General features: G+C 44.8%; 1 protein-coding gene and 1 pseudogene across 9 annotated transcripts in view, besides 3 other annotated features; both read right to left on the bottom strand.

Annotated features, from left to right (window-relative positions):
* Positions 1 to 25,195, bottom strand: part of GREB1 (growth regulating estrogen receptor binding 1) — a 159,901-nt gene that overhangs the window by 122,767 nt on the left and 11,939 nt on the right. The window contains exon 1 of one of the 9 annotated variants that reach the window (XM_024453256.2): positions 24,057 to 24,146. The exons of the other annotated variants lie outside the window; for them this stretch is intronic. The gene's annotated coding sequence lies outside the window, so the exon portion shown is untranslated. Of the gene's footprint in view, positions 1 to 24,056; positions 24,147 to 25,195 lie in introns of those variants that run through there. 9 annotated transcript variants of the gene reach the window in all.
* RNA5SP84 (RNA, 5S ribosomal pseudogene 84) lies at positions 2,519 to 2,625 on the bottom strand (annotated as a pseudogene).
* Positions 19,045 to 19,214: an enhancer, noted in NCBI's record as "active region_15320". NCBI's record gives its function as "activates an Ori minimal core promoter by ATAC-STARR-seq in GM12878 lymphoblastoid cells {active_cell/tissue: GM12878}" and the evidence as "EXISTENCE:reporter gene assay evidence [ECO:0000049][PMID:35858748]".
* Positions 20,254 to 21,039: an enhancer, noted in NCBI's record as "NANOG-H3K4me1 hESC enhancer chr2:11639109-11639894 (GRCh37/hg19 assembly coordinates)". NCBI's record gives its function as "activates a minimal SCP1, AML or CMV promoter by ChIP-STARR-seq in naive H9 embryonic stem cells {active_cell/tissue: H9 hESC(naive)}" and the evidence as "EXISTENCE:reporter gene assay evidence [ECO:0000049][PMID:30033119]".
* Positions 21,040 to 21,825: an enhancer, noted in NCBI's record as "H3K4me1 hESC enhancer chr2:11638323-11639108 (GRCh37/hg19 assembly coordinates)". NCBI's record gives its function as "activates a minimal SCP1, AML or CMV promoter by ChIP-STARR-seq in naive and primed H9 embryonic stem cells {active_cell/tissue: H9 hESC(naive and primed)}" and the evidence as "EXISTENCE:reporter gene assay evidence [ECO:0000049][PMID:30033119]".

Below are 25,195 nucleotides of genomic sequence, written 5' to 3'. Positions count from 1 at the left end.
GGACCACAAACCCAAGGCACCATGCCTGGCTAATTTTTGTATTTTCTGTAGAGATGGGGTTTGGCCATGTTGCCCAGGCTGCTCTTGAACTCCTGGGCTCAAGCAGTCCACCCCCGTTCAGCCTCCCAAAGTGCTGGGATTATAGACGTGAGCCAACACGCTTGGCCTCATTTAATTTTTTAATGGTGAACAAGATAAGTACACTTCATGTTCTCACAGAACTTTAGTCTTGAGGGTGAGAGGCTAAATAATTAAGCAAGTAATCAGGCTGGGCACAGTGGTTCACGCCTGTAATCACAGCACTTTGGGAGGCCAAGGCAGGTGGATCACCTGAGGTCAAGAGGTCGAGACCAGCCTGGCAACATGGTGAAACCCCATCTCTACTAAGAAACACAAAAATTAGCCAGGCGTGATGGCAGGTGCCTGTAATCCAAGCTACTCAGGAGACTGAGGGAGGAGAATCTCATGAACCCGGGAGGTAGAGGTTGCAGTGAGCCGAGATCGTGCCATTGCGCTCCAGCCTGGGCGACAAGAGCGAAACTCTGCCTCAAAAAAAAAAAAAAAAAAAAAAACCAAAACAAGTAATCATAAGATGTGAAAAGGCTAAGACCAGGAAATTACAGGATAATCAGAGAATACCTGGGGGACTTACTAACTTCACAGAGACCTAATAAAGACCCTCACAGATGGTCATTTCCTATGTTCAAAATGCCAGCCTTTAATAATCCAACAAGCAGTAACATCCAGATAGCCCTTATTACCAACAGTATAGGTAACGATGTCTATCTAAATTTTATTAAACTACTAGTCTGATTAAAAGAGAAAGTAATTGGTACCTTTCTGTCAAAACAATTTTTGGAAGACATCTGCCAAGGAAAAAGATAAGACTTTCGAGGGGATTTTTCCTTTTTTTTTTTTTTTTTCTGAGACGGAGTCTCATTCTTTCACCCAGGCTGGAGTGCAGTGGCGCGATCTCGGCTCACTGCAAGCTCCGCCTCCTGGGTTCACGCCATCCTGCCTCAGCCTCCCAAGTAGCTGGGCCTACAGGCACCTACCACCACGCCCAACTAATTTTTTGTATTTTTAGTAGAGACAGAGTTTCACTGTATGTTAGCCAAGATGGTCTCAGTCTCCTGACCTCGTGATCCACCCGCCTCGGCCTCCCAAAGTGCTGGGATTACAGAAGTGAGCCACCTCGCCTGGCGGGATTTTTTCATTTAAAAAGACACATGCTTATATTTTATGCATATGCGCTTTTTCTTTTTTTTTTTTTTGTATTTCACTTTACTGCCCTATCTACTGCTCTACAGACCTGAAGAACTTGCCCAAGTTCTATTCAAATTGACATCAAAATATCATCAGAATCTAATGTAAATCATTTTAGCAGGTTTGAACCTTGATTAAAGGAGATGCTGCAAATGCATCTGGAGGCCAGGACTGGATGGATCTGTCTGCATTAACCAGGCCCATGCCACACACCCCCACCCCCTACCCGCCCCCTGCCCACTGCAGCAGCAGCAGCCCTGTGCACAGATAAAGCTGCATTCTCATTCGATGCCCTGACTCTAGGTTTCTGGAACTCAAAACTCAGTGTCTGAGATACAATGACAAGCTCCAGAGAGAAAAATAGCAACTTTTTCCTACTGAAAAGAAAGGAAAACACAGTCACCTTACCCAAACAGCCCAAAATACCTTTAAATGAGCATGACTACTTTCTCCTATACACGAATTTTTTTAATGTGTTCAACTTTCAATGATTGCAAAGTCATAAATTCCACCCAAATGGATCTCCATGCTCCTCCTGACCTTGACGTCAAACAACTGGAAGGAGGCCTCAGTTCTCTCAGCAGGTTGTCCACTCCATTGCAGACCATAAAAGAAAACTATTGCCTAAAAATTAGCATGCATATTCCATTTTGTTAGTTATTGTATCCTTTATTCCTTTGCTCTTGAGGAATAGCACTAAATTACCCTCTCTGGCAAAATGCCCACAGTCAAGGGGAAACAAAAAACAAACTCACTCCTTGGAAAACTCTCCGGGTATTGTGAAGTTACCAGCATCTTTAAACTGCTGTTAAAGATGCTTCACTGTTATAATCCCAGCACTTTGGGAGGCCAAGGCAGGTGGATCACGACGTCAGGAGATCGAGACCATCCTGGCTAACACGGTGAAACCCCGTCTCTACTAAAAATACAAAAAAAATTAGCCGGGCATGGCGGCGGGCACCTGTAGTCCCAGCTACTCGGGAGGCTGAGGCAGGAGAATGGCATGAACCCGGGAGGCGGAGCTTGCAGTGAGCCGAGATGGCACCACTGCACTCCAGCCTGGGCGACAGAGCGAGACTCTGTCTCAAAAAAAAAATTTAAAAAATGCTTCACTACTAGTTGTGAAATGTAACAAACAAGAATTTCATTAGCACAAAATCACTCTGGCTCCCACACCTCATAGCCAAGACCCTGTTCCCACAGCTAACATCAATCTACCTTCAGATCAAGCCCCTTCCTCTTTTTTTTTTCAAGTCTACAGCACCGGGTCTCCCCAGTGGTCTCCCATCCAAGTACTGACCAAGCCAACCCTGCTTAGCTTCTGAGACCAGGCGCATTCAGGTCGGTCCAGCCATCGATCCCTTTCTCTTTGTAAGGAAAAGCACCTGAGCCAGCTGGGAAGGAGGTGGTCACAAAAGGCAGTCCAAAGAGCAGGTGCCTGGGTTGGAGCGGAGGGAGCCGAATGGCACAAGGCAGGATCAGCACCTTCAGGCAGCGACTGCACAACACCGACTCAGACAAGGCACACAGGATGGTGCTGCTGGAAGGCAAAGGGCAGGGAGGCCGGGGGCAGCAGGGAAGAGGGCCAGCCTGGCCTTGGAGGGGTCCACAGGACATGACCCCAGCCTACACCCAAAATCTCACTCATCCAAGTGACCCTGGGGCCACTGCTCACACCAGGGAACCTTCCAGACACAGCGGCAAAGACAGCCACTGGAATAATAAGCAGTGGTCACATCATCCATGTCCCATATTAAGGAGCTTGGACTGGATCCTAATCCCCTGCTCTGCTCCTGGAAGGGCTTCCCCAAAACAATGCTCCCCGCCTCACAGCCCTCGCCACCCCACTGCCCACGGAAGAGAAAAGTCTGTCTCAGTAGGAGACAGAAGCTGCTCCTCCTTCCTCCACTAGGTAGAATGAATCCAGTGAGAGCCTGTTAGCACAGAGACTTTGTCTCTCTTTCTTGCTTGCGTGTGGCAGCTTCCTAGGTAACTTGGGTGCAGGTCTTTCCCTTAGATGGACGGCGCCAAGGTCTATCCTGCAGGGAGTCAGGAATTGGGGCGGGGAGCTTGGGTAAGGCCGTTTGGCCCTCACGCCTCAACCGCATGGGCCCACAGCCTTAGTAAGAAAGGTGAGATTCTGGTCTCCATCTGCCTGACTCCTACGTCAACTACAGCTGGGACTTGGGGTGGGGAAGAGAAGAGTCACTTATTAGCTCCCGAGGCCAAATGGAAACACTGCAGGGTTTGAAGCCCCTGGGTGATGTGACTATGTTGTAGAAGACATTCGAGGATGCACTGGTGGGAATCTGGTCTGTGTGGAGACCTGGGAGAAGTCAGTTATGACAGTCCAGCTGAGGACGGCACCAGAGCAGTCAGGGCAAGATAGAAGAGAACAGATTGCGTGCACACACACACACACACACACACACACACACACACACCTGCAGGAAAATCTACAGCACTTGGTAATTACCTGGTTTTGGAGGCAGTGAAAGATACCCAAGTCTTGGTAGATGGCATCAAAGAGTTGAGGAGAAACTGGACTAAGGAGAAAAAGCTGGGTTCATTTTGGACGTGATGCTCTGGGAGGACCTCCAGCAAGCAGAGTGATGTCCAAGTCTAAAGATCGGGTGTGAGACAGACAGCACTTCTTCCTATGGTTCATGTGACATCCACCATGTCCCGCCACAGAGGCCATCTACACATTTTCACTTTCAATGCCCAGATTCTGGATTTGCCAAGTCAGTTTGAAAATAAGCCACTGAGCTCTAATGAGCTTTTCTCTGGTTGTGTTTCTGCGGCATGCCCGAAGTGCTGTCTTGCCTGGCTAAATCTGCCTCCCTAAGGAGCTCCACATGGGCCTCTAAGCACAAAGCCTGGAGTAGGTGAAAGAATTTACTCTACCCCTAGGAGTCTGAAGTGTTTCACAAAACCCTACTAGACTGAATTAAGAAGAATGCCAGAGGATTTTAGCCTTTGCTCTCAGAGAAATATGCTGTCACCTCCTGTTCCCGGAGGAGGGGCTGATGAAGGATCACTCTGGCCTGAGAACATCTGCTCTGCCCTTTTAGGCAGCATTCCTCCTGGGAGACACAGGAGGGGACGGGGTTGTGACCACCTTGAAGCCACCAGGTCAGTGCCCCTGCCCTCCCCCCGCCCTCAGGCTCCCAGGGAGAGCCTCACATCTCACAGGGCTTCCAGCAGAGGAAGCAGCCAGATGGTGCCAGAGAAAACCTCGGAGGGGCAGAAACACAATGGAAAAAGACAGAGTGGGAGGTTGCCTCACTCACGTCTACATTATTCAAGACTTTTAAAAAACACAACAATAACAACCTAATTTCTTCTTGGAGAGCCTCAGGCTTGCAGTTAATGACATTTTCATTAATTCATTCTTTCCTACTTAGCACATTTTCCTCTCACTACGCCTAGACTCTGTTCTTTGAGCACATCATCTCTATCCAATTCAATCTCTGTTCCCTCTGCACTGGCCATAATACCTGGTATGTTGTACTGTTCAGAGAACACCTACTGAAAGACTGAATGAGTGAGTGGGTGCGTGCATGAACGGATGGATGGATGGATGGATGGATGGATAGATGGACGGATGGGGGGTGGGTGGATGGATGGATGGATGGATGGATGGAAGGATGGATAGATGGGCAGGTGGGGGAAGAGATGAGAGGATGGATACATGTGTGGATGGATGGATGGATGGATAGATAGATGGTCAGGTGGGGGAAGAGATGAGAGGATGGACACATGCGCGGATGGATGGATGGATGGATGGATGGATAGTGGAGGAAGAGATGGGAAGATGGATACATGTGTGGACGGATGGATTCAACTAATAGCTCTTAAGTGCCCACTCTGTGCCAAGCACAGCACTAAGCACTGGGCATACAGAGATGACTGATGCCTGCTCTCAACTTCAGAGGGACTCACAACCTAGTAGGGGGAAATGCCATATTCCTAAGCCAATACATGATAAATGCTATAACAAAGAGGAGAGAGCAATGGACTGAGCACAGAGGGGTTGTGCAGACTGAGCCCCAAAAGATGCAAAGGATCTCTTGGCACTGGGTTCAGCATGTGCCTTCCCAAACCTGCAGTGGCATTCCTTTGGCCCAACTGAAACCTCCAAAGTTCATTCCAGTTCTTTCCCTCTAAAGAGTCCTCTGTAATCAACACCCCTCCTCTTTGGCTTGACAAACATTGCTGAGGGTCAAACTTCTCCCCAAGACAGCAGTTACATAGTACATACATCTGAGGACACAACACTGACATCTGATCATGGAAACATGGTGTGGCATGGTAGTGGATGTTGGCAAAGGGGTGTAGTGAAAAGGGTGTAGGATCTGGAGTCAGAGTCTCCAACTGGTGAATCCCAAGTTCAACAATGCAATAGCAAACTTGGAACATAACTGATTTTCTCTGACTCTCACTTTTTCCATATTTACGTAGGTAACATGGTAATACGTACAGAGCAGTGTTGTTTAAAAGACTGAATGAGAACTCTATGTAAATAAGCCAGCACCATATCTGGCACACACACATTTGGCTCTCAATGTTAATCGCCTATTTCCTGCTTCCTGGGATTTGGAGACACCATTTCTTTTCCATTGCCTTTTGTCATGTAGATTCAACTCTATCCCATCTGGTCCAGTCTCCCAGTCAAAAATATTCCTTCTCCACCCATCCCCATCCTCTCTGCACTGATCCAGCTCCTATTCTGTTGCAGTGAGTAGGAGATTAATCTTCATCCTCCCCTCTTAGGATGTGAGCTCCTAAGGGCAGCGGCCAGGACTTAGGCAGCTCTACAACCCGGAAGCCTAGCTCAGTACCTGCCACAGATTATTACTCAGAAATTACTGGCTGAAGAACCACAAGTTATGCTGGTGATACCAGTATTACTACAGCCCATGTGAGTGCATCCTACCAAGCCAGGATGTCCAGCCAATATGGCAATATCGGTACCAAGAAGGACCAGGCCTGGAAGAGCACTTCATACACCCTGGGGACTAAATAAATGTGAGTTATTACAAGGAAGCCACAGTTCTTTTTTTTTTTAAAGCAAGACCGAAAACCATCAATTAACTAGAATGATCAGGAAATTGCGTGTTGCTGCTAATTTAAGTTTCTGGCAAGTCAAAATAAATCTCCAAGCCAGGACTATAGAGTTTCAGAAAAGGGAGAAAATTCTACCAGCTAAGGAGATCAGGGAAGGCTTCCTGAAAGAAGTAGGCCTTGAAGGATGACTAAGAGCTTCCCTATAAACCCCATACTGGGCTAGACTAAGAGAATCTAATTTGTGGCAAAGATCTTGAGTGTTGCTCCCGGATAAATTAATTACCGTGACCCTGAGCTGCTTCGAACTTCCTTCCCTGAGATGCCCATCCTTTGATTCTGGGATTGAAATCCATGAGGGTGACATACACATCCTTACTGTTCCCACACAAGGACAAGGGAGAGACGCCCACCCGCCTCTGTCAGGGATATGAGCTGCGAGTCCCTAACAGACTTCCAGGACAGCTGAAAAATGTCCTTATGTGGGAAAATAAAGAGGATAGACAGATTTGATTCATCCTCGGGGCATTCTAGAACCGTAGCAGACCTGCTTACATAGTCTTCGTTATGAATACAAATAGGAAAACAATCAGACCCAATTAAGTCCATTTTTTTAAGCTTTGCGCTTCAGCTCCAGAACAGAGAAGTTTCATCTTTATCAAAATCTCCATTCCCAGGCGGACGGACAGTGTGTTGAAAGAATCCATAACTCTTTCTTTCCAGCCCACCGGTTCCTCCACCCTCACTGCCCCAACAACTGAAAGAAGGTCATTTTGACCTGATTATCTTTGTCTATAAGTCTTAAGCCATATCCGCCTAAGTAAAACATAAAATTACTTAAGCTGCGTAAAAAGTCTCCTAAGTCTCATTCTTTTCTTAGGATTCTTCAGATCCCACAAGGGTCACTGAGCACATGCCATGTGTTGGGCACAGTGAGCCTTCCAACAGCCGTGTGAGACAAGAGGTCTTATCCTCTTTGTCACACAGGGAAAGTGAGGCTTGGTGGTTGATTTGAGCAAAGAGCTCCTGTACTAGCTGGTGGGGTGTGGAGCACACAGCCCAACCCAGGGACCCACGCCAAGCTCACCGCACCTTCCACCAAAACAGAGTAATCTTCAACAATCCTTGGTCTAAACACACACAAGTCATTTTTTTCTAAAGCTTTAGGAAATACACACGTTTCCCCTTGCTTCAATGTTGCCAGGAAAATCCTTGCAGGAATCACACCCGTTGCATTCATTACTAAATACACAGGGCATAGCACATAGTAAGCACTCAATAAATATTTGTTAAGTGAATTTTTACTTAATAGGAAAGCACTTAGCTGCTTTTTAAAAAAATTTTCTACTTCAGCCTCATAAGAATTATAATTTCTCTCTTCAGGTTTTACTAAATTAAATGATGATTCCCAAGACACAAATTCCTCCCCAGGAGCTAGTGGTCAACTTTTTAAAATGAAAATAAAAGAATTTGAAGACAGCGTTGCTAGAGGTGATGGTGGCACAACATTGTCAATGTACTAAACACCACTAAATTGTTCACTTTAAAATGGTTAATTTTATGTTGTGTGAATTTCATGTCAATTGTTTTAATGTATTTCCAGCACTGTTTCTGAATATAACTCCATTGCCAGTGCCTTGGGAATTCCACTCGCTACAGGCTAGAAATCGCTGAGTAACAGAAAGCAATGAGACTGGACCGAGATTTTTTTTCAGGAACACAGACAGCAAAGTAACAGTCAGAGGAAAGGGGCGGTGGGTGGTAATAACAGTCACACCCACCAAGGTCTCCTCCACGGACCAGCGCTGGGCCAGGCATCCGAGGTGTGTCATCTCACTTAATCCCCACATCAGCTCTAGAGGCAGGACCCCTGTTCTCCCCAGTTCACAGTGAGACTAGGTGTCTAAAATACAGGGCAAACAGGCTGAGTGTTTGCTTTGGGCTATATGAAAGCCCACTGTGCAGTACAGAGGAACCCCATTCCCCTAAGCTCAGGGTCTCAGCAGCAGGCGAGTTCCTGGATGAGGATGAGGAGCAGTGAGACATGAATGCTGCTCTCCTGCGCAGACGCCCTCCTCTCACCGGGTCACCTTCAGAGGGCACGCTGCTTCCTCATCTGGAGACATCCAAGTTCTCCAAAATGGAGTTCCTGTTACCTTCTCCACCCACCCCTAATATGCTTTGGTTCCAGCCAGTCTTTCCCTGAACTCACACTCCCATCTTGTCTCCATGCCTTGGCCCAAAGTTTACCCCACCTAGAATGCCATCCCCTGCTCTATTCTTACTCCCCATTCACTCTCAGAGATGTGGAGCCAAAAATTGTCTTCCTAGTTCTGCCTTTCCTGGCTACGCAATCTGGGGAAAAATGTAACTTCTCTGGGCCCCAGCTCTCCAGCCATAAAATGGGGATGATTGTGTAGCACCCGAAAAACTATGACCCCTAGAAAAATGCTTTACTGGATGATGGACAGAGTGATCTTTTCATCCAAGCCTGGCTACCCATGGCCGTTCACCAGGAAAAAGCTTCGTTCTTGTGAAGACTGCTGGGAGGAAGTGAGCCTGACGCCCCATGCCTGCCCTCACCATTGGCCCTGCAGAAGCCAATGTGAAGAGTTTGCGCTGGCCAAAGCTGGGCAATTTGAGCACCAAAACAAATAATTACTTTGCCAGATCAGGCACACTGACTGTGTTTTTAAAAATCCATACGTTCATAATTGGCCAGGCATGGTGGCTCATGCCTGTAATCCCAGCACTCTGGGAGGCAGAGATAGGCAGATCACCTGAGGTCAGGAGTTCGAGACCAGCCTGCCCAACATGGCGAAACCCTGTCTCTACCAAAAATACAAAAAATAGCCGGGTGTGATGACAGGCACCTGTGATCCCAGCTACTCGGACTGCTTGAACCCAGGAGGCGGAGGTTGCAGTGAGCCACAGTAGCACCACTGCATTCCAGCCTGGGTGACAAGAGTAAGACTCCGTCTCAAAAAAAAAAAAAAAAAATCCATATGTTCATAATACTGAAAAAAGAAAAAGAAACTAACACTGGGTCAGCTTTGGAGGATGCGAGGAAATGAACTCATTATCCTGAAAACTGGTGGATAAAGGAAAAGAACCAAGCCTTCCTCCCACCTTTCCTGTGTGAGCTGTATTTTCAAGTAACCAAATCGTTGATTAGGAAAATGTCTTTATAAAAGAATTCCAGCAAATATATGAAGAAGGAATTATAAATTAGGGTGTCATCATTTTACAACCCCTAATGAAATCATGGATCTTAGCAGTGACTGGCAATTGTGGCTAAATCCAATGATGAAAGATTGAAGGGGGAATTTTAAGATGGATAGATCAGGCTGATAGTTATTGAAACTACTAACATTACACAGGGAGAAAAGCAGATTGCATTCTGCCATTGGTGCAATATAAGGTACATACCATCACTCTGGCATCTTCTCACCAGACATTAAATCTGAATCTGATCCAGTCCCTATATCAAATTACTAATTTACTGAATATACAGGGACAAAGATACACATTAAACAACAGCCCAGTGATGCAATCAGCCAAGTCCAGTAAGTAGGGAATTCCAAGGGAACAGCGACTGGATGTTTTCAACAAATAAATGGCAAGAAAAAAACTGTTATAAACCAAAAGAAACCCAACAGACATATCAATAAAAAGCAAAATGCATGGACTTTTTATTGGATCCTGATTCTAGCAAACAGACCAACTGCAAAAACATGCTAATGAAATAAGGGGAAATTGAATTGTCTTAGCCCATTGGAGCTGCTCTTACAAAATATCTTAGATCAGCTAATTTATAAACAACAGAAATTCATTTCTCACGTTCTGGAGGCTGGGAAGTTCAAGGGTATGGCACCAGCAGACTCAGTGTCTGGTGAGGGCTCCGTCTCTGCTTCAAAGATGGGGCCTTCTCACTGCATCCTCACATGGTGGAAGGGGCAAACAGGCTCCCTCAGAACCTCTTTTCTAAGGGTGCCAATCCCATTCATGAAGGCAGAGCCTTCATGATCTAACCCCCTCCTAAAGGCCCACCTCTGAATACTATCACATTGGGGATTAGGCTCCAACATATAAATTTTAGGAGGACACCAACATTCAAACCGTAGCAAACATTAACTGGATAATTGGTATAATAAGGAATTACCGTTAATGTTTTTTAGGTGTGATAACGGTATTGTGGTAACTTTTTTTTTTAAAGAGAACACCTTTAGAGATACACATAAAAGCATTTTTGGATGAAAGGATATACCTGGGATTTGCTTCAAATAAGCTAACAAAGAAAAAATGTGTGCAGAGTGTAATAAAACAAAATCGCCCACATGTTGCTAATTTTTTTAAATCTGGGAAATATATATATGGGGGCTCATAAAAATATTCCTTTTTCTTTTGTGTATGTTTAAATTTTTCCATGATAAAAGCCTTAAAAAGGAGAAAAAAGTGAATATGGTCCTGCACACTTTGGACTTAGGGGGAATTCTTACAGAAAGAAAAATCTGGGGCCGGGCGCGGTGGCTCATACCTGTAATCCCAGCACTTTGGAGGCCAAGGCAGGTGGATCACGAGGTCAGGAGATCGAGACCATCCTGGCTAACACGGTGAAACCCCGTCTCTACTAAAAATACAAAAAAATTAGCCGGGCGTGGTGGCGGGCGCCTGTAGTCCCAGCTACTCGGGAGGCTGAGGCAGGAGAATGGCGTGAACCCGGGAGGCGGAGCTTGCAGTGAGCCGAGATCGCGCCACTGCACTCCAGCCTGGGCGACAGAGCGAGACTCTGTCCCGAAAAAAAAAAAAAAAAAAGAGAGAAAGAAAAATTTGGATTCACCTTTAGGCCTCAGATGTCTTCATGTTTCGGAAGACAACCACGGTGAACGTTTTGGGTAGGCAATGGCAATAATGGTGGAGATTCTGGCAAACAATGATTTGAAATGCTGTGGATCTAGAAAGAGAAATCTTCAACACGGTGCAAGCCAAATCTCTAAAGTTTATGTTGGCTTTAAAAGGATGTTTGTTTTATTTTGTTTCATTCTAAATACAAGTGTAGACTACACTGTCCTGGAAAATGACTGTTTGTTCTTGGGAGGATTATGTACGTTCTTGTTCAAGCAGCAAGCCACGTAAAAGGGGAGTGGCCAGGCAAAGATGTCAGGAAGGATGCAAAACAAACCTTTGCCACACTGGGGGAAAGCCAGAAAGGAGCCCAGCCTGAGGCTGCCAAAGCGTGTGCAAAGCCCGTTCTGCTGAAGACCCACGCAGGGCGCTGTTCTTTGTTGGAAAATGAAGGATCTGGGAAATATTCCAACGCCAGCCTCATGTGTCCCGATGCAGAGGATGGTGAGGGTGGCTGCAGGGTGAGGCCAATCCCTGGATGTAAAATGTGGAGGGTTTTCCTGGAGGAAATAGAAATTCCAACTGCCATGAGCCCCTGGAGAAGGAAGATCTAGGGATAGAAATTGGACCAGGGTGCAGGCCTGTGGCATGGGACTGGGGCCACAGTGGGGAGAGGCTGAAGGGCCTGGAAGAGCTCAGTGTCTATCTGTCTGTCTTTCTGTTTCTCCTTCTCTCAGAAGAAGAAGAAAGCAAACCTCTACCATAGGCGAAATGGACTAGAAGCTGTCTAGAAGTCTCTGAAAACAATATATCTAGTACATGGCTTTATGTTTTTTGGCATATAATTCCCTCCTGGGATAATTTCCTCAATATATTACTGTAAACAATGCAGCCTCTGTTTAGATGAGTTAATGGAGAGAATTAAAGAAAGGTCCAGAATCCTCAGTTAAAATAACTCAGGAAAAGGCAGCTTTCTTCTCACCCACTCCAAGGCCTATGTGGTGACAGCAGCAACAGCTTCCCTGAGTCCTGTGGTCTCAGGACTCCATGGTAGAGTCGGGACCAGAGAGGGACAGACTCAGTATGAACACAGCTGTTGGGGGCACCAGGCAACCAGCTCCACCCAGAGCCTCCAAGGGCAGGAAGGACTCTGAGAAGCAGGAGGCTGGCGCCTGGACAGGCAGCAACTCCATGCCAGGAGACTCCCTTGTTAGTCAAAATAATACCCATTTGATAGAACTGCAAGGGCTGGGCAAGGTCTCTGAACTAATAAAACACAGAATACAGTTTGCATGTTCACTCTTGGTTTCTTGATACCAAATATAAATTACCTGATCTAGTGCCTGCATCAGAGTAGGCAGTCACTACAGGGCCACTTTTGATGCTATTATTATTATGTTGCCATTATTGTTTTTCGGTTTATGGTTTTTTTTTTTTTTTGGAGTCTTGCTCTGTTGCCCAGGCTGGAGTGCAGTGGCGCAATCTCCACTCACTATAACCTCTGCCTCCCGGGTTCAAGCAATTCTCCTGCCTCAGCCTCCCGAGTAGCTGGGATTATAGGCACCTGCCACCACGCCTGGCTCAGTTTTGTATTTTTAGTAGAGATGGGGTTTCGCCACGTTGGCCAGGCTGGTCTGAAACTCCTGACCTCAGGTGATCCGCCTGCCTTGGCCTCCCAGAGTGCTGGGATTACAGGCGTGAGCCACCTGTTACTGTTGTTATTACTATAATTAATCATGAAAAAATACCAATGCTTGTGATATCATCTACCAAGAAAACTGGTATATAGAGAAGGATTATTTCTGTTTTAATTTCTTTGTATAATAAGTTATTGATTATCTTGTAATTCTATATCAAAATCAGCAATATTCTTTGATTGCTTCACACAAAATATAAAGGGATGTAACACATGTTGTATTTAACGTGGGTGGAACCTTGATCCTGAAAGTTCTGAAAAACAAAGTGTGATATCCACAGTACAGTGCAGTCTGCCACTGCACACTGCAGTGTGTGTGCAGTATCAGGGACTGGAAGTTGGCTCCTCCCCAGGATGGAGAGTCCAGAGCTCAGGGTTCCACGCTGCTCTGCTGCTCCAACTCTGGTCATTCTGCCAGTTCCCAAGCCTCCCCAAGCTTCCATGATCTCATCCCTAGCACACATCACATTTTAGCATAATGAACTTTCAAGACATGAAGGAAGGGAAGACGGGACTGTATGATCATTTCTAACTAATTTGGGGAAATCCACCTCTAATTCCTAACCAACTCCAAAGGCAGATGGTCTAATAGAAAATAATAAATACACCAACTAAATCTCCACTCTTTTCCCCTGGCCACCTAGGTTTCTCATCACCTAATGAACAAAATGCCCACTGGTCTGGGTATGCTAAGGCCTGCCAAGGAGATCATGGGGAGAGAAGCTCTGATTCCTGGGCCTCAGGTGCTCTTACCATTGGCCTCCCTGAAGAAAAGGTGTCACTGGTTCCCCTCAGGCTATGGCCACAAGCCCAGTCCCCAGATAAACCATTTGACCCTGGCTCAGCTGCATGGTAACTACCTGTTGGCACATTACCAAACCACGCTTCTCAAGGACAGGAAATTCCAGCATCTATACTCAACCAAGAACACATGAGATGATTTGCTGTGACTAGAAACATTACTCCCAGACCACAGAGAATGTTAGGCCCGTGAGCACGGGGACCATGTGCACTGGGCTCACAGGTCTGTTCTTGGTGCCTGACATACTGCAGGTGCTCAATAAATATTTGTTGTAGCAATAAACAAACGCAACAGGCTTTGATACCCAGCCCTGTCGCTCCTTCACTGTAGAACCATTAGTAAATTGCTCTGCCTCTCTGCACCCTGCATCACAACTGAGAGTTCGCCGATGTTAAACATTATCCTTTTTCCTGATTTAATATTTATTTACAGCATGCCTTACTACTGCTTTACTTCCAAAGTCCGTTTACAAGTTAGTTTGAACACTTTTTTTTTTCCCAAAACAGGGTCTTGCTCTGTTTCCCAGGCTGGAGTGCAGTGGTGTGATCACAGCTCACTGCACCCTCGTTCTCCTGGGCTCAAGCAATCCTCCCATCTCAGCCTCCCCAGTAGTTGGTACTACAAGTACCCATCACCACGCCCGGCTAATTTTTTGTTTTTATTTTTTGTAAAGACCAGGTATCCCTATGTTGGCCAGGCTGGTCTCAAACTCCTGACCTCAGGTGATCCTCCTGCCTTGGCCTCCCAAAGCATGGGGTTACAGGCGTTAGCCACTGTACCCAGCCTGAACACTTTCATTGTTTTTATAATTTAATGATTTATTATTATTGAATTCCTCACATCCCTGAGGATGTGGGACAAACTCTCAGGGAAGTATAGAAGAGCTGGAGAGAACTGCTTGTGTGAAAGACTCTAGCTCTGTCCAGAGGACCAGTGGCTGGAGAGACAGGAAGGAGCTGGCAGGCACCATGACAGAATGTGCTCTCCACCCCAAGAGCATGCAGAGCCATTAGGAGACATTTTAAGCAAAGGAGAAGCATGATCAAGTGCAGGCTGGGAAACTGACTTACACTCCCCTCGCCGCAGTCCCCATCTCGGTAGAATGTGATGACACCTGCCAGGCACGGTGGCTCATGCCTTAATCCCAGCACTTTGGGAGGCCGAGGCAGGTGGATCACTTGAGGTTAGGAGTTCAAGACCAGCCTGGCCAACATGGTGAAACCCCGTCTCTACTAAAAATGCAAAAATTAGCTGGGCATGGTTGCATGCTCCTGTAGTCCCAACTACTTAGGAGGCTGAGGCAAGAGAATCACTTGAACCTGGGAGATGGAGGATGCAGTGAGCTGAGATGGCGTCACTGCACTCCAGCCTGGCAACAGAGCAAGACTCTATCTCAAAAAATAAAATTAAATTAAATGAAAAGAATGTGATCACACCTATCTTGCAAGGCAGTTGTTACTCAGAGCCAATAAGGTGGCCCAAAGTGCTGTGTCTGGCACAAGAAAGGGCTCAATGAATAGTGTAGGAATGAAAACAAAAAGTAATGTCGAATTATTCATAATGGCCAACAAGTAGAAATAAGCAATCAAGCAATGTTTGGATAAACAAAATGTGATCTATCCATACAATGGAATGTTATTCAGCCAGTAAAAGGAATAAAGTGCTATTACATGCTACAACATGGATGAAACTTGAAAACATTACACTAGGTGAAAGAACCCACACACAAATATGCAAAATGTCCAAAATAAGCAAAATCCATAGAGACAGAAAGTAGATTCGTGGTTTCCAAGCAAGGAAGGAATGGAGACTACTCGCTCATAGATGCAGGATTTCTTTTTGGGTAGTGGAAATATTTTGGAATTCATGGAGGTGGTGGCATAACTTTGTAAATCTACTAAAAATCGCTTCAACATAGTGAGTTTTCTGTTATGTGAATTATATCTCTATTAAAAAATCGCTTTGAAGACCCTCATCCACAGTTTCACTTTTCATGGTTTCAGTTTTCCAAGGTCTGAAACTACTAAATGAAAAATTCCAAAAATAAGTCATACATTTTAAATTGCATGCCATTCTTAGCAGCATGATGAAATCTCCCACCTTCTCACTCCATCCCATCCAGGACGTAAATCTCCTTTGTCCAGAGTGTCCACAGTGTGGACACCACCCACCCATGACCACTAGTCACTTATGACCCATCTCAGTTCTCATATCAGCAGATCACAAGAAGAAGGGTGAGTACAGTACAGTAAGAGACAGAAGGAGAGAAACCACATTCACTTAACTTTTATTACAGTATATTGCTATAATTGTTCTATTTTATTATTAGTTATTATTATTAATACTTTACTGAGCCTAATTTATAACTTAAACTTTATCATAGGTGTGTATGTATACGAAGAAACACAATATATATATAGTCCAGTACTAGCCATGGTTTCAGGCACCCACTAGGAATCTTGGAACATATATCCCATGGACAAGGGGGAATTACTGGAATGCTGAATATTGTGGAAAACCTGTTAAAGTCAGAATATGTAATATGCAATAAACAGGAAGGTTATCTTGCTCTGCTAACCCTAAGATAACCAGACGTGAGCAATCTCATCAGCAATCAAAGCTCGAATCATCATTCCACACTCGGAAAGTGGCCAAAATTAAGAAGCCCAACAATATTTGGTGTTGGCAAAAATGTGAGGAAAGAAGCACTCATCTGCCACCACTGGACATGTAAATTAGTCTGGCCACGCTAGCGAGCAATTTGGCAGTGCCTACACAAAGTGGAAGTGCACATACCACGTAACCTAGCAATTCCGCTCCTAGAAACTCCCCTACTGAGACACGAAGAGATACAAAAGGATGATCAGAGCAACATTTGTCATAATATTATAAAAAAGGAAACAATGAAAATGTCTACCATTAGAGGGAGAAAGAGAAAACAGTGATATATATTCACACTACCAAATACCAAAGATTAGCTAAAATGAACTACATCAATAATGTGAATATGAACAATGCCATTTACAACCCAAAAAATGTAAGCACTCGAAGCAATAGATACAGATTTATGTAATAAACGTGTGAAAATCTGGGCAGAAACAAGCCATGCCACACTCATGAGAATTGTCCCTCTGGGATGAGGGAGGAGAAAAGGGGACTTCCCCTCATCAGGAACGTTTCTTTCTTTTTACTGTCTGGGGCCATGTACAACAGCCAAGCCAGGTGGGGAAATAAGATGAGAGTGATTTCTGCTAGCCCCACACAACTAGAACATTGGTCTCCTTGCCCTCTGAAAGTCACTTTTACCAGGCACCTCTGCAGCAGCCTCCCTTTCTCCTTTCCAACATGAGCCATGAAGCCCCATAGCAACAACACAGCCTGGAGGTCGGATGGACTTCGTATGAATCTCAATTCCACCCCTTCCTGTCTGTGTGGCCTTGTCACTGAGGCTTTCTAAGCTCCCATTCCTCAACCATGAGACAGCAACAAAACTCACCTCCTGGACTTGTTAACACAGTTAAATGATGTAATCCTTCCACCTGTGACATCACTATATGAAGTGCTCCAGATAACATATAAAATAGATGTAGGCACATATAAAGTACTTGGTACAATATCTGAGGTCAATAAATATTTTCATCATATTTGTATATAAATAGATAATAAAGATAAAAGTTTATCTTCCTCCTTGCAAGTTAAACTGTCTTGTAGTTATTTGCTCCTTTAGTAGTTTATCCAAATAAAGATAAACTACTAAAGGAGCAAATATATGAACTGAGGAAAACCCCAAATTGCACTAGTTCTGTAAACTGAAGAAGAAATCCGGCCAGACACAGTGGCTCATGCCTGGAATCCCAGCACTTTGGGAGGCCAAAGCAGGCAGATCCCTTAAGCCCAGGAGTTCAAGACCAGCCTGGGCAACATGGCGAGACCCTATTTCTACAAAAAAAAAAAAAAATTAGCCAGGTCTGGTGGTGCATGCCTGTAGTAACAACTCCTGAGGAGGCAGAGGTGAGAGGATTGCTTGAGCCAGGGAAGTCGAGGCTGCAGTGAGCTGTTACCATACCACTGCACTCCAGCCTAGGCAACAGACTGAGACCCTGTCTCAGGAAAAAAAAAAAAAAAAGAGGGCCAGGCGTGGTGGTTCATGCCTGCGATCCCAGAACTTTGGGAGGCCCAGGCAGGAGGATCACCTGAGGTCAAGAGTTCGAGACCAGCCTGGCCAACATGGTGAAACGCCGTCTCTACTAATAATACAAAAATTAGCCAGGTGTGGTGGTGCATGCCTGTAATCCCAGCTACTCAGGAGGCTGAGGCAGGAGAACCGCTTGAACCCGGGAGGTGGAGGTTGCAGTGAGCCGAGATCGCACCATTGCACTCCAGCCTGGGCAACAAGAGCAAAACTCCATCTCAAAAAAAAAAAAAAAAAAAAAAAAAAAACAAAAAAAAACAGGAAATCCAGGCTCTAATAAGTAAGAAATCAGTTCCGCACAAACATAAATAAAAAGGGAACTCTGAGTACGATACTTGAAAATTAACAAAACATAGCAAGGACTTTGCAGGAAGTAGGCACTTCACATGTGTTTGAGGTTGGACACATCTTGAAATTATCTTCCTAAAAGATACAAAACAGCATATAAAAACAGCACCTTGGCCAGGTGCAGTGGCTCATGTCTGTAATACCAGCAGTTTAGGAGGCCAAGGCAGGTGTATCACCTGAGGTCAGGAGTTCGAGACCAGCCTGGCCAACAAAGTGAAACGCCGTCTCTACTAAAAATACAAAAATTAGCCGGGCATGGTGGCACGTGCCTGTAGTCCCAGCTATTTGGGAGGCTGAGGCAGGACAATCGCTTGAACCTGGGAGGCAGAGGTTACAGTGAGCCAAGATCGCACCACTGCACTCCAGCCAGGGCAACAGAGAGAGATTCCATCTCAAAAAAACGCAGCACCTTCTGTCTTTAATGAGCTGGGTCATGGTAACTCGGAGATCTGCAGCAAATGTGTCTAAAACATTTCAGGATCAAGAATCCCACCTGCCCTCTCAGGCCCACCCTTCTGCCTCTCAGCTCCCCACCACCACTGCTTCGATGTACTCAAAATACCTATGACATGACATTGATAAATGCAAAGTCAGTAGGGAACACAGCTGATTAAAGAGTGTCCCTCCAGGAAAAAAAACTGAATGTGTTCACTGGCCGAAGCTGCAGTACTCAGTTCAGGTCCCATGGGTGCCCAGATGATGGATCCCTGATTCCTACCCTCAAGGGACTGGGCAGTGGAGGAAAGACAGAGCTTGTCACTACCTCATGTAAGACCCTGAGAAGGGACCCTGGCTCTGTACCACATTAAAGTCACATCATAGCTTGAACTGGGGAGTGAAATGGTGTCTCCTGAACTGCTAACCTTTCTCATATCTCATTTAACCCAACTGCAGTTTGCCTGTCACTCTCTCCACTTTCTGTTTCGTTTCTTCTGCCATTCCTCTTACTCTGACTTGCTCTCACAGAAATGCCGCAGTTGGTTGGGAATCTTACCATTCCCTGCTGTCAATATGTAAAGTCCCCATTATTTGCTTATGAAAACTGAGTAAAGCTCTGTGGTTCCGCTTTCCCAACTGCTGAAACCATCTTCCCTAGTAAGTAACAGTCCGTTACTTGAAGGATACATTTAAGCCTTTCCTGTAAATCAAGTAGGTAATTTTATTTGCAACATTTTTGTTGCTGCAATAAGAATACTTTACTAATTGGGGCCAGCCCAATGGCTCATGCATGTAATCCCAGCTGGGATGCCAAGGCGAGTGGATCACTTGAGGTCAGGAGTTCGAGACCAGCCTAGCCAACATGGTGAAACCCTGTCTCTATTAAAAATCAAAAAAAAAAAAAAAAATGGCCAGGCACAGTGGCTTACGCCGGTAATCCCAGCACTTTGGGAGTCCGAGGCGAGCAGATCACCTGAGGTCAGGAGTTCAATAGCCTGGCCAACATGGTGAAACCCCATCTCTACTAAAAATATAAAAATTAGCCAGGCGTAGTGGCACACGCCTGTAATCCCAGCTACTCAGGAGGCTGAGGCAGGAGAATCACTTGAACTCGGGAGGTGGAGGTTGCGGTAAGCCGAGATCACACCACTGCACTCCAGCCTGGGCAACAGCGTGAGACTCCGTCTCAAATAAATAAATAAATAAAAGTTTTAAAAAACTAGCCAGGCATGGTGGTGCATGCCTGTAATCCCAGCTACTCAGGAGGCTGAAGCAGGAGAATTGCTCGAACCCGGGAGGCAGAGGTTGCAGTGAGCTGAGATGACACCACTGCATTCCAGCCTGGGTGACAGAGTGAGACTCCGCCTCAAAAAAAAAAAAGTATACTTTACTAATCAGAAAGGGCAACAATACCATTTCAATTTTTTTAAAGCAACAATTCTATAATATAAAGAAATTATGTAAAAGGATATCTGATATCTGCAGATACTAAAATTTGAGTAGTAGAATGCTTACAGTAATGACATGGGTACAGGTTCCTAGCAGACCTACAGCAAAGTTATATGTACAATATGATAGCCTTTTTTGTAAAATGTGCATATCTACATTAAAAGGATATGAAGAATCTCCCAAAATGCTAACAACAGTCATGTCCAGGTAGAGGAATTTGTTTTTGTTTTGTATTCTTCCATGCTTTATAAGTTTTCTGCAATTAACACATGTAATTTTTGAGATGTAAAGAAAGTGATTTTTAATTACTTTCATCAGATAAATAAATCAACAAATTTTCCTCAGAACAAAAGAGACTGATGTAAGTAGCTAATGCAAATATTATTGATCTGCTCTTGCCTGAAATTAACAGCACAGTAGAAGCTAAGCTCAGGGCTCTATTCCCCATGGAGAGAGACCCCTTACACAGTCAGGGCAAAGGACATGGCCAGATAACAGTGTTTAGACATGTCTTTGATGTTTTCAGCCTTCATCCTGAACGGCTGACCAGCGGAAACAAAAGATCATTCTCGTAGCACTGGCTGCAGCCGGCCTGTGTGTGCCCACCCCTTGCTGTTGCTGTTTCCCAGGCTGACCCCTGCACCCACACACAAAGACCTCATTTGCAGCATGGTTAGCAGTGTCAAACATTCTCTCCAGATTCAGCCATTGAAAAGACATTTCCTTTTTTCCAAACCAGCTTTGTGTCTTCATGACCCAACTGGAGTAAGAATGGAGTTTTGGAATGAAATAAACAAAAAAGACAATCTGCCTTCCACAATTAATAATAATTCTGTGTTTATGGGGATTGCAGATACATGTTGCTTATCTGTGCTTTTTATGTTCCACCCCCCCACCACCAGGAACATGTTTGTGTAATTAAGCATTTTAAAATCATAACCATTTTTTAAAATGAAAACCCACACTTCCAAAATAGCACTTGAGTTCCACATGTTCTCTGCATAGGTTTTTAAGCAGCCAGCAGCTGCACGCCACATTTGGGGCTGGGAGAGATGTCACAGGGGCTGACAACTGAAATCAGTCAGCAGTTTCGGTGAGTCTGCAGCTGACAGAGGAGACAAAACGGGCACCCAGCCCAGTCATGCCCGTGCCTACCACAAGGTCAGCTCCACCCGTGGGTCAGTGTGCCCCAGATCAGCCCAGGACGCCAAGTGTCACCACCCTCTCCCCAGGCAGGCAGGCTGCCCAGCTGCCCAGCAGCAAAACTGCATAGGAACTCAGACTCCCATCACCTGGCCAGCTTGGCTGTCCCCTGACCCACGTCCCCACCTCACTGCCCCCCAGTTCTGACTCACGGTGTCCCGAAGCTGAACACTCTTTGTGGTCCTCTTGAAGCCTAGAATTAGCTATGTGAACATCGGTGAATATCATAATTTATTATGCAAACTTTAGGTACTGTTGTGTCCCTATATATTTGACTTGGTAATAAAAAGCAGGAATTCTTAAAATCTTAAAATAAATAAATGCAAAGGCAATCCATTGTAGGAGAGACAGCTTTTTCAATAAATGGTGCTGGAACAACTGGGTATCTACAGGCAAAGAAATGAACCTTGACCTAAACCTTTTACAAAACCTAAACCTTTTACAAAAATTAACTCATAAAGGATCATAGACCTACACATAAAACATAAAACTATAACACTTCTGGAAAAAACAAATTTTTTATGATCTAGGCCTAAGGAGTTTTAAAATTTGACATCAAAAGTACAATCCATAAAATAAAAAGTGGATACATTGGACTTCATAAAAATTAAAATGTTTTGCTCTGCCAGGAGGTCGAGGCTGCAGTGAGCCGTGTTCATGACACTGCATTCCAGCCTGGGTGACACAGTGAGACTCTGTCTTTAAAAAAAAAAAAAAAAAAAAAAAAAAAAAAAAAAAAAAAAAGTTTTGCTCTGCAAAAGACCCTGTTAAGAGGATGAAAAGACAAACTAAAGAATGGAAGAAAATGTTTGCAAACCACATATACAACAAAGGACTAGTACTTAGAATATATATATTTTAAAACTTTCAACACTCAATAGTATAACAAAGCAAAAGAAGTGAATTAGAAAATGGGCGAAAGACATGAAGAGATGTTTTACTGAAGAGGATATACAGATGGCAAATAAGTCACGAAAAGATGTTCAGTGTCATTACTCAATAGGAAAATACAAATTAAAACCACAATATGACATCACTATGCATCTATCATAACAGCTAAAATAAAAAACAGTGACACCATCAAATGCTGGCAAGGACAAAGAGAAGCTGGATCCTCACACATTGCTGGTGGGAGTGTGAAATGGTACAGTCACTTTGGAAAACTCTTTTATAGTTTCTTACAAAATTAAAAATACAACTAAAATAAGACCCAGCAATTGCACTCTTGGATATTTATCCCATAGAAATTACAACATATGTTTACACAAAAACCTGTACACAAGTGTTCATATCAGCTTTATTCATAAGAGCCAAAAACTGGAAACAACTCAGATATCCTTCAACAAGTTCATGGTTCAACAGACTGTGGTCCATCAATATCATGAAAGACAATTCAGCAATAAAAAGGAATGAACCACTGATACTTAAAACAACCTCGATGAAGTTCCAGAGAATTACAATGAGTAGGAAAAAAGAAAAGTCAACCTCAAAAGGTCACATACTATATAATTCCATCTATATGATATTTTTGAATTGACAAAATTATAGAGATAGAGAACAGATCACCAATTGCCAGGGGTGGGAAAGAGAATTAACCACAGCTATAAAAGGGCAGTACAGGCCAGGCGTGGTGGCTCACATCTGTAATCCCAGTGCTTTGGGAGGCGAAGGCAGGAGGATCACTTGAGGCCAGGAGTTCAAGACCAGCCTGGGCAACAAAGTGAGACCCCATCTCTACCAAAATAATGTTTTTAATTAGCCAGGCATGACAGTTCGAGGCTGCAGTGAGCTATAATCACGCTACTGAATTTCAGCCTGGGCAACACAATGAGACCCCAACTCAAAAAAATAAAAAATAAATAAAAGAGCAACATGAGGGGTTTTTATCAGGGTGGAACTATTCTGTATCTTGACTGTATCAATGTTGCCATAGTGTATGATAGTTTTGCAAAATGTTATCATTGGGAGAAACTGAGTATATGGTACATGAGACCTCTGTATTATTTCTTATGAGTGCATGTAAATATACCATTATCTCGAAATAAAAATTTGAATTAAAATTTAATAAATACTATAGATCAGCATTTTAACAATATTCTTCTTGCTAGCAGCTTGCCATAACGCTGTGTGACCTGAGAAGCAGAGCGTCCTTTCATCCAGACCTCCCCCTTGTTCGTCAGACATGTGACGGGGGGGCGGGCGGGGTGGGGAAGATAAGTCGCTGCTGCTTGCCATTGTCTCCTGTGTGAGAAATCTCTCTGGGTATTAGAAACCTTTATACAATATTAATGGGGATTAGAAGGGAGCATCCAAGGGCCAGGTCAGAGCCAGTCCTTTTCACTCATGTAAATGACCTGAGACAAATATAAACCGAGAGGGTTCACATCCTAACAAGGCATTTTTGTTCCCATCCGTGGTGATCGAATCATTGAAAGAAGACCCTGTTGGTGACCCCAGCCCAAATCTGAAAGGCATTTGCATCCCTGTGAGCTGGGATCAGCGCACAGTGGCCGGTGCCTGATCTCCACAGAGCGAGCACAGGAGGTCGACTTTCTGGGAGGAAGTAAAGAGGCTGACGCATCTGCTAGACTCAAGGACAGTCCCAGCAGCACCTCCACTGCGTGCGGAGAGGGAGGAAGCGCCACGGATAAGGAGAGCCAGCTTCACAGTCAGGCACAGCCTCAAACCCCAGCCGTGCCGCTTTTTGGAGCTGTGACCTCCTTACCCTCTCCCAGTCTGGTTATCCTCACCTGGAAAACGGGGTTGCCGTTACGTCCGTCCCAAGGCTGCTGCAAAGACAGAAGAGGAGCGCCACGCACAGACTCACAGAGGAGCTCAGTGACGCTGGGCCCTTCCTTCCCCCACTCATCGAGTTCTGCAACACCGAAAATCCCGTTCACTCAAAAAAAAAAAAAAAAACGGGGGGACTTATCCTAACCAAGATTCAACGGACTAGTATAGGCGGAGGCTAGGCGCTCGGACCCGGGCCCAAACTGTGTGTGTCCAAACTCTTGTCTCAGCCATCTCCCAGGTGTGTGGACTCAGACAAGCTACTTAACATCTGTGTGCCTCAGTTTCCCACTCTGCAAAACGAGGATAATAAAAATCCCATCTACCTCGTAAGGTTGTCATGAGGATTGAGTGAGTTACACGTGAAGTGCTTGGAACAGTGCATGACCCCAACTTATTTTTTTTTAATGCATCCTTTTAGGTAACAGTTTGGTTAGAAGAAATAAGAAAACTTCCTTGAGGCCATTTTTTTCTAAATTTTGTGGAAAAACAATTATGTTGTATGAAAAAAATACCGAATGAAATTGCCAATATGCTGCAATTTTCACCTACAAAAATGGCAGGTTCATATAGTCCCACCCAGTTAGTAAATTTCTGAGCCTCAGTTTACACATCTGTAGAATGTGTATCCTAGTCCTTACATTCTGAGGCTACGGTGTAGCTTAGTGCTAATGTAAAATGTTGGCACAAAGTAGGGACTTAGTGAATGACAGCAGCTGGTGGTGTAAAACCACCAATCTTCTTCCCAGTGAGATGCTCAACATGGCTCAGGAGCAATATGTCTATAGAAAGAGGCATGGAGATAAGCAGACGATGTAACAGGCCTGATTCCCCAGGAAGACCAATCAATGTCACCGGGGGCAGGGGCAAGCGGGGGAGACCCTCCTCCCAAAACGTCACAGAATGACACAGAGCAACCACCATGGGAACAGAGCAGGAGATGTGGAGAGCCATGAAAACTGAACACCACCAACGGTGAGCACCTCTGAGGCCAGGCCCCAAAGACAGGTCATGGGTGATGATGACACTAATAATAAGAGTCATAACAAGTTGGGGGCTCTTTTCATGTATGAGGCAATGGTCTAAGCACCTGCGGTGT

This window comes from Homo sapiens, chromosome 2 (assembly GCF_000001405.40).
Source record: "Homo sapiens chromosome 2, GRCh38.p14 Primary Assembly".
Classification (NCBI taxonomy): Eukaryota; Metazoa; Chordata; class Mammalia; order Primates; family Hominidae; genus Homo; species Homo sapiens.
The sequence above is the reverse complement of the archived record's forward strand: the minus strand, read 5'-3'. Positions and strand labels throughout refer to the sequence as shown.